The sequence below is a fragment of the Homo sapiens genome, chromosome 12 (assembly GCF_000001405.40).
Source record: "Homo sapiens chromosome 12, GRCh38.p14 Primary Assembly".
NCBI classification, from domain to species: domain Eukaryota; kingdom Metazoa; phylum Chordata; class Mammalia; order Primates; family Hominidae; genus Homo; species Homo sapiens.
In genome coordinates, this window is record NC_000012.12 from 68,717,265 (window position 1) to 68,729,386 (window position 12,122).

General features: G+C 36.0%; 1 protein-coding gene across 4 annotated transcripts in view; it reads left to right on the top strand.

Moving 5' to 3' along the window:
- NUP107 (nucleoporin 107) overlaps positions 1–12,122 on the top strand; it is a 58,832-nt gene that overhangs the window by 30,287 nt on the left and 16,423 nt on the right. For 3 of the 4 annotated variants that reach the window (NM_001330192.2, NM_020401.4, XM_047429177.1), the window contains 8 exons: positions 2,077–2,167; positions 2,314–2,390; positions 3,854–3,913; positions 4,577–4,722; positions 4,840–4,888; positions 8,463–8,532; positions 9,235–9,353; positions 10,087–10,125. In NM_001330192.2, the coding sequence (NP_001317121.1) occupies positions 2,077–2,167; positions 2,314–2,390; positions 3,854–3,913; positions 4,577–4,722; positions 4,840–4,888; positions 8,463–8,532; positions 9,235–9,353; positions 10,087–10,125 (651 nt within the window). The remainder of the gene's footprint in view (positions 1–2,076; positions 2,168–2,313; positions 2,391–3,853; positions 3,914–4,576; positions 4,723–4,839; positions 4,889–8,462; positions 8,533–9,234; positions 9,354–10,086; positions 10,126–12,122) is intronic. The other variant, XM_005269037.5, reaches the window with a different exon arrangement.

Sequence of the window (12,122 nt, forward strand, 5' to 3'; positions counted from 1 at the left end):
AGGTCTCACTAGCTTTATAAAACCACAGATAGTGAGTGTTTTGTATTTACTTATAGCCCTTTTTCTTTGGTCTTCCTTTTTAAGGTAGTTGCAGTCATACTATACATTCAAGTTTTTTCCCTCTTTTTTAATAGCAATTTGAGATAAAATTTACATACCATGTAATTCACCCATTTCAAGTGACACCATTCAATGGTTTTGGTATATTACATTATTGATTTTGTGAATCGTATAATATATATTATTATATTATATAACAAAATGTGCCATTTTAATCATTTAAGTGTGCACTTCATGGCATTCATTACATTAACAGTATTGGGAAACCATCACCACTGTCTGTTTCTAAAACTTTTTCATCAACCCAAATACAAACTGTAACCATTATATGCAGTAACGCCTCATTCTCTTCTTCCCTCAGCCCCTGTAACCTCTAATCTACTTACTGTCTCTATGATGTATAGGTAGAATCATACAATGTGCTTTTGTGACTATCTTATTTCACTTAGCATAATGTTTTCAACATTCTATATTGAGTTTTTATCCTGCCTTTTTAAGATACCATATCAAAATAGTTTTCCATGTTAATTCTTACATAGCTCTCATAGATTTTAAAGGCTATAAGTTCAGAATGATGTTAGGGGTATGATATTCTTTAACTAGTTGTATCAATCAGGCTTTCTGGGTTCAAGTGATAGAAACCCAACCTAAGTTACTTTATGCTTACAAGAGGAGAATTGATTGGCTCATGGAAGTGGGAAGTATAGAAGGTATATCTGGCTTTCAGCAGGATCCAGGAACTCCAAAGATATCACTAGGATACTGTCTGTGTCCAAGACCCATAGCTCAACCCTCCTCTCTGTGCCTTCATTCCCAGAAAGCTACTCCCCATGTTGTATCAGAGATGGATACAAGAAGCTCCAAGCTTACATGGAGCTAGCAATCTCAGTAAAAGGAGTATATTTTCTTTCCCAGTATCTCCACCAAGAGTCCTGGTGGTGAATCTTGTTAGCTCACATCCCTAACCTTAGATTTCTGGAATCGGATCAGGCCTATCCAAAACACAGGAGCCAAGAATGGGGAAAAGGTGATTCCCTAAAGGGATGATGGAACAAAAACATGTATTTACCTTACTGGTATATAAACACATTGACTTACTGACTTATTGGTCAAGTTGAACATGCAGTATCATCAGTGGAGTAAATGAGCAGTAACAACCTTGTCATTAGAGACTGTTTTTTTAATAGTTTTTCATAAATCAGAGGTCATCAACCTCTTTAACCCCATTTGTTTCTAGCAGAATTAAATGCCAGTGGGTGCCGTGGGAACGTATTGTTAAGCCTAAAGTCAAACAGAAAAGGGATTTTTTAGAAATAAAAACAGGGCCAGGTATGGTGGCTCATACCTGTAATCCCAACACGTTGGGAGGCTGAGGTAGGGGGGATCCCTTCAGTCCAGAAGTTCGAGACCAGCCTGGGCAATATAATGAGACTCTGTCTCTACAAAAAAATTTAAAAAAGAAAGAAAAATAAAGGCAGAGGCCACAGAAAGGCATGCATATGTTTTAAAAATAGAATGCCATTATGTATGTATGTATGTATGTATGTATGTATGTATGTATGTATGTATTTATTTAGTTTTTGAGACAGGGTCTCACTCTGTCATCCAGGCTGGAGTGCAGTGGCGCAATTTCGGCTCACTGCAACCTCTGCCTCCTGGGTTCAAGCGATGCACCTGCCTCAGCCTCCCGAGTAGCTGGGATTACAGGTGCCTGCCACTGCGCCTGGCTAGTTTTCCTGTTTTTAGTAGAGATGGGGTTTCACCATGTTGGCCAGGCTGATCTGGAACTCCTGACCTCAGGTGATGCACTTGCCTTGGCCTCCCAAAGTGTTGGGATTACAGGCGTGAGCCACCACGCCCAGCCAGAATTCCATTATTAACTGTCTACATCCATCCCTTGTAATGGGATGGATGGAACATTTGTTCCATAAGTTATCTAAGCTTGTCATATATTGGTTATACTTTACTATAAAGCACCCTGGTTATTGGACTGACTGCTCTTTCTTGTTTTCTAAGGCACAACGACTCTGTAAACGCTGTGGTCAAGCATGGAGAGCTGCAACACTTGAAGGCTGGAAACTGTACCATGACCCTAATGTTAATGGAGGTATTTTAGTAGATTTTATTCTGACAGTTGAGGACAAAGGCATTTCGCTCTAAATGCCAATCTTTGTGAACTATAGCTTCTCTTTTTAGAAAGAATTGTAATAAGGTCTTATTTTAAACCAGAAATTTTCTTTTGCTATTTTATAGGAACAGAATTAGAACCTGTTGAAGGGAATCCATATAGACGCATTTGGAAAATAAGTTGCTGGAGAATGGCAGAAGATGTAAGATAAATAAAATATTCAGTGATACTGTTTTTAACTCCAATTAATTGAAAGCCTATTCAGGGGCTGTGAAACATTGAAAGTAGTGTAAAACTGGTTTTCAGAGAATTTCCAATTAAATTGAGGAATAGGCTTAACTACTTATCAGAATTATTAAAACACTGTGTACTAAGAATTAAACACTGATATAAGGCAGAAAAGTAAAGGAGGTACCAAATGAATTTAGAGAAAAAGTACTGGGCTAAAGCTTAAAGCTGGCTTCCCTGAGGAAAGAATTGAATTGAACTTTTAAAACTTAGTAGGATTTGCGTTGTTGAGAATGAAAAACAAGAGGAAGGAATTCCAGGTAGGATACATAGATTGGGAAACTCAAAGTAAGGTGGGTCTACCAGGTTGGAGTAGAATGCTTATAAAGGAAATAAAGTCAGTTCTGTTGTAACACGACATAGGTATTCAAAGTCATCACAATGTACAACATTGTGCAAAAACCCCACAGGACTTATAGGGAAATGGAGTTAAGAGAAAAATACTCAAAAACTTCATTAGTGATACATAAAATGATAAAAAGTTAATAAAAATGGTAGCACAGTTTTACATCTGTCAAACAGTTCAAAAAATACATAAATACTACAATAAATATGGCACTTTACCTTGAAAAAGGCCTAAAGTTTGCTTGTGGAATTGGATGTCAGGGTGGTAGAAGCTTTAGGGCACATGGCAGAAGTGTTTTTAAGAAGATCAGCATGGCAGTAGAAAAAATATACTTAAAATTAGATGGATAAAAGCCTGAAAAAGTAATTAGGAGCCTGTCAGAATTATTTGGACACTAAGTCATAAGGGTCTTTCCTAGGATAGTATTGATGATAATGGAAAGGAAGGAAGAGACACTGGTCAGGACCGGTGATTAGAAACAGAAGGCAGAGGTGGACTCAGTTATGCAGTAAGAGTCTCTGAAGTCTCTTGTTTGGATGATAAGAAAACTGGAAATACCATTAATAGAATCCCAAAAGTAAAATGGGGAATTAGTTAGTTCTATGTAGGAATTAAATGCAAACTAATGCATGCCTTGTTTTGATGTTGTACATAGGTCAGTATCAGAGAGTATCAGGTCAGTATCAGAATGTCAGGTATTGAGAAACATTCTAGGAGTAAATAACTATATAGATTGTATCTGGAATAAAATTTGATTTTAAATATTCAAAGCATCCACTAGAGTTGGATCTGCTTTCACCTGATATTTGGCATTTAAATGTTTTACTTTTTCCTCTAGATTTCAGCATTTATTATTTCATCACACTGAAGTTCTTCCTTGTTATTACCCCACTAGATCTTTCACTAAAGTTTAAAAACTATCAAGTGAATAGGTTCAGTCTAGAAGAGTTTGCAAGACTCCACATTATGAGGAAAATTGACATACTAAGAAAAACAATATTTCAAATTTGTTTATATTCATTGTGTTTTAGGAGCTTTTTAATAGATACGAGAGAGCAATTTATGCAGCTTTAAGTGGGAATCTTAAGCAGGTATGCAATCTGTTTTAATGTTTAAATTTTTTCTGTGGAGTAAAATTAAATAAAATATTCTAACAATTGTATATAACAAATATAAACTTAAGTTTGTATACTTAAGTATATACATACTTAAGTGTAGCAATGATAGAGATAATCATGAATCAGATAGTGACTTGTTCTGCTTAATTTGATGTATCCCATAACATGCATGGTATTTTAATGAATGAAATCAGATTTCAGTTTTTAACTAAGAATTGTAAATTTAACTCCAACACACATTTATTGATGACTTAAAATACTCATAGCTGTATGCAGAAATGTACCGGAAAGACACAGTGAGTCCTTGGGTTGTCTTACATACGCATGTTTTCTCACAACCCACTACTCCCTACATATTATAGCTATCTTTAGGGATACTATACTAATCAGTTGAAATGTCATATCAGCCTGGAAAACTGATGTTGTTGTTAACAGTATGAAAAAATCTGAACAGTTCAAACATCTTAGAAGATGTAGTTGGCGGAGGAAAGGTTATTTGGCATAATTTTTTTAAAATCTGCCGTGTTTTATATCATTATAAAGTGATTTTATAGTCTGTATCATTGGATGTAATTGCTTTTCCTTTCTTTTCTGTTGAATATGTCTATATGTTTCTGTTTTGTAATGGGGAAAAAGCTGCTTCCTGTCTGTGACACCTGGGAAGACACAGTTTGGGCCTACTTCCGGGTGATGGTGGACAGTCTGGTAGAACAGGAGATCCAGACATCAGTAGCAACTCTGGATGAAACTGAAGAACTCCCTAGAGAATATCTGGGAGCAAAGTGAGTTTGTTGGATTGTTTTGAGTCATGGTGATTTGTAGCATGCTCTTTGATGTTTCGTTTTACACCCCTTTTTCATATTATTAACATTATTCTTTTCCCGTTGTTTCTTTTGAAGCTGGACGTTAGAAAAGGTTTTTGAGGAACTTCAAGCTACTGACAAAAAGGTAAATGTTAATAGGAATATGTTAGGTATCTGGAATAGGAAACAGTGTTATTCTATTGTGCACTGTAGCTGAAAGGAAAAAGGTGGAACTTTCTCCCTTTTTCTCACCTATTAAAATAAGAATCATTCTTTGAAACGAAGAAACTTAATTACATAAATGATACATCATTTTTAGTTTTTTGTTTCGGATTAATTTCATCTAAGTATATGCACGTAAGCTATATTTATTCCTTTTTTAAAATTTAAAACACATTATGGAAAATTATTAAGACTTTATTTTCCTAGATCTTAAAATCTAATATTTTCTAAAAATTATATTCTTTTAAAAATGCTTAAACAACTGTAGTAATATTGTATGTACTTGTAACAATAAAATAATTTTAGAATGTATAAATAAAACCTTTATAGTAATTTCTACCCCTTTATGGTTATTCCCCTGAGATGATAAAACATACTGATATGTATCCTTCTATATTTCTCTCCATGATCTTACGAATATGTGTAAATAATGTAGATACTCCAATTTAGAATTTTGATTTTTGTGTTTTTCACATTTTACTACATATATTACTCTACAGCTTGATTTTTTTCATTTAATGATAATCTCCAAGTTAGTTTATTCATTTTCACTTAACCTTATTCTTTTTAATAAATACATAGTGTTCTTTAGAATAATGTATGATTTATTTTAATCATTCCCCTTTGGGTAGTATTTAGGTTATTTCTAGTGCTGTAATGAAGTTACATGTGTGTGTACTTAACTACTAGTCCTTCTGTTTCTTTGGGATAAGTTTCCTGAAAGCAGGGTTACCAGGTTAAGGAGTATAAATAAGTATATGCTTTATACATTGTATATACATACATACAGTGTTTCTGAATGAATTCTCTGAAGACATCAGGTTGTATACCTTAAAAATATATACAATAAAAATAAATAAAAAGGCCAGGTATGGTGGCTCACATCTGTAATCCCAGCACTTGGGAGGCCAAGATGGGAGGATCACTTGAGGCCAGGAGTTTAGACCAGCCTGGGCAGCATAGCAAAACTTCGTCTCTAAAAAAAAAAATTAGCTGGGTATGGTGGTGTACCCACTTGTAGTCCCAGCTCCTCCAGAGGCTGAAGTGGGAGGATCGTGGCTTCAGTGAGCTGTGATTGTACTACTGCACTGGAGCCCAGGAGGTCGTGGCTTCAGTGAGCTGTCATTGCACTACTGCACCCCAGCCTGGGCAACAGAGCAAGGCCCTGTCTCAAAGAAAAAAGAAAAATTAAATAGGTAGGTAGGTAGGTAAAGAAACATTTTGAAATGGATGCTGCATGCCTGTAATCCCAGCTACTTGGGAGGCTGAGGCAGGAGAATCACTTGAACCCAGGAGGTAGAGGTTGCAGTGAGCCAAGATCGCAACGTTGCACTCTAGCCTGAGCAACAAGAGCGAAACTCTGTCTCAAAAAAAAAGAAAAAATTGAAATGGAAAAATAATTTATTACCTGGTTGTGGCAGTTAATTCATACTTCCACAAGTAATTTATTGAATTATACATTCTCACCAGCCTCAAATGTCACACTTTTTATGTTTTGCCAATCCATCAGAGTAGGTGGGAAATAGGAACTTGCTGTTCTACTCACATTTTCTTGTCTATTCATAAGGCTGAGCATGTTTCCTTATGTTTATTGACCATTTGTGAATTTTTTGTTCATATCTTTTAGCTATTTTTCTGTGGTGTTTTATATTTTTCTTATTATTATATAGGAGCACTTGATATAGTAAGGAAATTAATGCTTTTTCTGTCAAGAGTTTATTACCAGTCTATTATTTTGGATATTCTAGCTAATGAAATAAAACAAGAAAATTAAGGAACAGATATAAATACTAGAAAGGGAAGAACATTTATATATGATAAAAATATTAGTCTAGAAACTTAAAGCTCAGTAAGTTACTAGAATTAATAAGAGAATTTGTTAAAGTAGCCAGATACAAGACAACGTTTTTTTTTTAAAAGTCAAGTCTTTCTGTGCTTGTTATAACTATTTAGAAAAGGATTTAGTACCCCCTCCCCAAAAGTTCCATTTAAACGAGTGACCAAAACTAAAGAGATCTAGGAATAAAAAATTAATCCAGGGTTTCAAGCCCTTCATTTAAAAAACTATAGAATCTTACTGAAGGACATAAAATAAGACATAAATAAATAGATATATCATGTTCCTCGATGAGGGCATTTAATATAAATGTCACTCATTCCAAAATTAGCATAAAAACCTAATGCTTTGGGGTATTACTTCTGGACAGAAAATTTTGTCAAGTAGAAGAATAATTGAGAATGGCAAGAGCATTTTGAAAAAGAACAATCTGGGTTTGGTGGCTCACACCTCTAGTCCCAGCAGTTTTGGAGGCTGAAGCAGGAGGATCACTTGAGCTCAGGAGTTTGAGACCGGCATGGACAACATGGCAAAACCCCATCTCTACAAAAAAAATTTTAAAAATTAGCCGGGTGTGGTGGCATGCTCCTGTAGTCCCAGCTTCTCAGGAGGCTGAGGTGGGAGGATCACCTGAGCCCAGGGAGGTGGAGGCTGCAGTGAGCCGTGATTGTACCACTGCACTCCAGCCTGGGCAACAGAGTGAGACTCTGTCTCAAAAACAAACAAACAAACAAAAAAAACCACACTGAAAGCAAAAAAAGTAGTTAGAGGGTACTTGCCTTACTCAATAATAACACTTAATATGAAGATACAACAAAACAGTATAGAACTGACATGAAAATAAATAGATGAGTGGAACACAAAGTCCAAACTAGATCCAAGTATATATGAGAACTTAACAGATGTCAGAGGTGACATTTCATTTCAGAGGGAAAGGGATGGTTTATTTAAATAAATGGCGCTGGCATAATTGGCTTTCCATCCAGAAGAAAACAAAGCTAGATCCTACTTCATGCCATGTAACTAAAATAAATTCCATATAGAGCAAAGGTTTGAATGTAAAAATTAATAAATGCTGAAAGAAAATTTAGACAGCCAACTAAATAAAAATTAAAATACGTTTGACAACAAAAAATGAACTATATTCTTCAAAAAATCAAGCTGCAAATAAGTTAGAAAAGGTTTTCTCTACTCTGTACCTGATCACTATTTTTTTTTTTCACCCTTGGTGCCATGTACAGAAGAGAATACTCAAAGAATGCTTTCATGTACTGCTGCTCATGTTGAAAGAAATCTTAATAGTTTATTTTGCTTAGGTCACATGAGTTCTTCCTTTCTCGTCCACCATGTGTAGTGCCAAGGTAAATAGGAATAAAATATAAGAATAAAAGTTTAATACCATTGAGAGATTAAATTGTTATAACATAGGTCTCTACTTTCAAAGATGCTTTTCAGTTCTGGATTTGTAAGCTGTGAGTATATTCCAAAGGCAGTATCCTTTCCATGTTTTATTTTGTTTTGATCTTTCTAAGGCCCTTCATTTCCAGCTTTTTCTTTCTATATGTTCCTTCAAAAGTTTAACATTTTTAGTTTAACAGTGAATATATACTACAGAATGACTGCTAGAAGATTTATGGAAAATTAAAAACTTTTTTTTCAGAGAGTTCTGGAAGAGAATCAAGAACATTATCATATAGTTCAAAAGTTTCTTATCCTGGGAGACATTGATGGTAAGATATGGTTTTATTTTACTTTGTGTTTTTTGTGTGTGTTTTTTTTTTTTTTTTTGAGACAAAGTCTCACCCTGTTGCCCAGACTGGAGTGCAGTGGCTCAGTCTCAGCTCACTGCAACCTCTGTCTCCTGGGTTCACAAGATCCTTCAGTCTCAGCCTCCTGAGTAGCTGGGATTACAGGTGTGCACCACTACGCCTGGCTAATTTTTGTATTTTTAGTAGAGACGGGGTTTCGCTGTTGGCCAGGCTGGTCTCCAACTCCTGACGTCAGGTGATCTTCCCTCCCTGGCCTCCCAAAGTGCTATATGTTATAGACATGGGATTGCAGGCATGAGCGACTGCACCCAGCCAGTTTTATTTTACTCTTTATGAGTTCTTCATTGTCTTATAGTGATTTTTTAAAGTTATCCAAACAATGCATGTGACTTACCATATCTTTTAATCTTGATAAATATTAACCTATTTGAATGCAACTATTTACTTTATGTCAGAGGTGACCTTTCATTTGGTTTTTATAAAATAAAGTTCGGATTGAACCCAAACTCTGTTTCAAAGAGGGTGTAGAGTTATATCATGGCTATTAATTATGAGACAGTGACTTGAAAGCACTATAGGAGTGAAATAAATGTTCTTGGTAATGTTTATTTTTTTCTTTTGATTTTATTCCTATTGTTGAATCTTCACTTTGATGGCTTGTAGGTTTGATGGATGAGTTTAGCAAATGGCTTTCCAAAAGCAGAAACAATCTACCTGGACACCTGCTTCGCTTTATGACTCACCTTATTTTGTTTTTCCGTACTCTGGGACTACAGACCAAGGTATATAAAAATGAACGATTTCTTCTTCTCTGTAATGTTGATGCTATATACCTATTGTCAAGAAAACACTACTTTTTTTATTATTGTTTTCTAGAAATGGTGATAAGGAATCAAAAGTCTTCCATATAGTCTTGTATAGTCACTCAATGATAACTCACTGAGAGTGGCCCTTTAGGGTTCTAGTCTGTGGCCACAGAATGCTGTTGGTTAACTGGTTTTTAATAAATTCATAACTTTATCCTTGTCTGTACCCAGCTTTAAATCAACCAGCTAAGCTAACTAAACAAAGTGAGTGCTATGTGAGATTTTAAAACTTTGTTGGTTGTTGTTTTGTTGCTTTTTTTCTAAAAAAGAAGATAACATTTTGGTCAGAGTGCATGTAGAAAGTGAATGATACAGTAGTTGAAAGCTTGGGCTTTGGAGTAGGAGTCCTGAGTATATACCCTTATTCAGCAGCTTCTATCTGTGTAACTCTGGGTAAATAAAACTTCCCTTGGTCCTAATTTCATCCTCTGTAAAATGTGAACAATAATAGTAACTACCCAAAAAGAGTTATGGTAAGGTTAAATCAGGCAGTAGATGAACTTTGGTAAGCACTTAGCTTGGTGTATAGTTACTGCTCAGTGGTAAACATTACAATTATTAAATTATTTAATAATGGAATTTGTATCAAAAATTTTGTTACTTTCATATAAGCAGTGTATTTATAATTATGTCTTTTTTTCCTATGAAGGAGGAAGTTTCTATTGAAGTTTTAAAGACATACATACAGGTAAACTTTGAGAACCTACAACCTGATTGTTTTTTACTATTTTAATGAAAACAAAACTCAGAATGATGCTATTTTAATTCTCAGTGGTAAGAAAGCATCAGAATCCATAAGAGATCTTTTAATTATCAGCACAGTTGACCTTTGAATAATGCAGGGATTAGGAAAACAACCCCCACCGCCCCGCACAATCAAAAATTCACTATAACTTTTGACTCCCCAAAAACCTAACTACTGATACCCTACTGCTGACCAGAAATCATACCAATAACATAAACACACAATTAACACATTTTGTATATTACATGTATCATATGCAGTCATCCCTCAGTATACTTGGGGGATTGGCTCCAGGACCCCCACATATAACAAAATCTGTGTATACTCATGTCCCACAGTTGGCCCTGCAGAACCTGCATATACGAAAAATTGGCCTTCCATATTTGCAGATTTCACATCCAGATAACACTGTATTTTCTAAGTTGAGTTGAAAAAAATTTATGCAGAAGTGGACCTGCACAGTTCAATCCCGTGTTGTTCAAAGCTCAACTGTACTGTATTCTTATGATAATGTAAGTTAGAGAAAAGAAAACATTACTAAGAAAATCATAAGGGGCTCGGCGAGGTGGCTCATACCGGTAATCCCAACACTTTGGGAGGCAGAGGCGAGAGGACTGCTTGAGTCCAGACGTTTGAGATCAGCCTGGGCAACATAGGGAGACCCTTCTCTCTACTACAAAAAATTTTTTTAAATTAGCAGGGCACAGTGGTTCATATCTGTAAACCCAGCTACTCGGGAGGCTGAGGCAGGAAGATCGAGTGAGCCCAGGAGTTGGAGGTTGCAGTGAGCTGTGATCTCGCCACTGCCCTCCAGCTGGGTGACAGAGTGAGACCATCTCAAAAAAAAAAAAAAAAAACAATCAGGCCAGACGTGGTGGCTTGCGCCTGTAATCCCAGCACTTTGGGAAACAGAGGTGGGTGGATCGCTTGAGCCCAGGAGTTCAAGACTAGCCTGGGAAACAGCGAAAACCTGTCTTTTTTTTTTTTTTTTTTTTGAGACGGAGTCTTGCGCTGTCACCCGGGCTGGAGTGCAGTGGCACCATCTCGGCTTACTGCAGCCTCCGCCTCCCAGGTTCAAGCGGTTCTCCTGCCTCAGCCTCCCGAGTAGCTGGGATTAAAGGTGCTGGCTAATTGTCTGTATTTTTAGTAGAGATGGGGTTTTGCTATGTTGGCCAGGCTGATCTTTAACGCCTGACCTCATGATCCACCCCCCTCAGTCTCCCAAAGAGCTGGGATTACAGGCGTGAACCACGACACCCGGCCTGGACCTGTCTTTTTTTTTTTTTTTAAGTTTAAAAATTAATAAATAACTTTTAAAAGTTAAAAAAAGAATAAATAATAAAAATCATAAGGAAGAGAAACTACGTTTATAGTACTATACTGTACCTGTTAATACTGTAAGTTTATGTTGTCTGTTTACAAGATGAATTGTCTATTTGAAATGGACAACCACAGTTACAGACCTCAATCTACAGTATATCAAGCAATTCACCTTTTTCTTGTAATCTCATGACTTTTCTCTGCTTCTTGGGAGAACTTCCAGTATCACTACTGGCACTTTGTATGGCTCCTGTGGTGTTATTAAGGGTTTATAGTATTGCACTAAAAAAAACAAGACCTGGGAAAGCTTACTTTTTATTGCAGTATGCAACTGAAGAGACCAACAGCTCTTCAGAGATGATTAGCATCACACGGCATTTTAAATGGATACTCACAGCACTTGAGCTCACCCCAGTAGTGGCAGGAAGTGGCTCTAAAGTTATTACAGTAGTATAGTATCTACTACAGTTAGTTGTATGCAGTTATGATTTAATACTGCATCTGTATGCTTGTTTACATTTCTCTAGACCACAATGTATGGTCTGTAAATGTGTGTACGTTTTGATAAATTTTAACTTTTTATAATAGATTCATATATATTTTATAGTAGTAAGTGATAA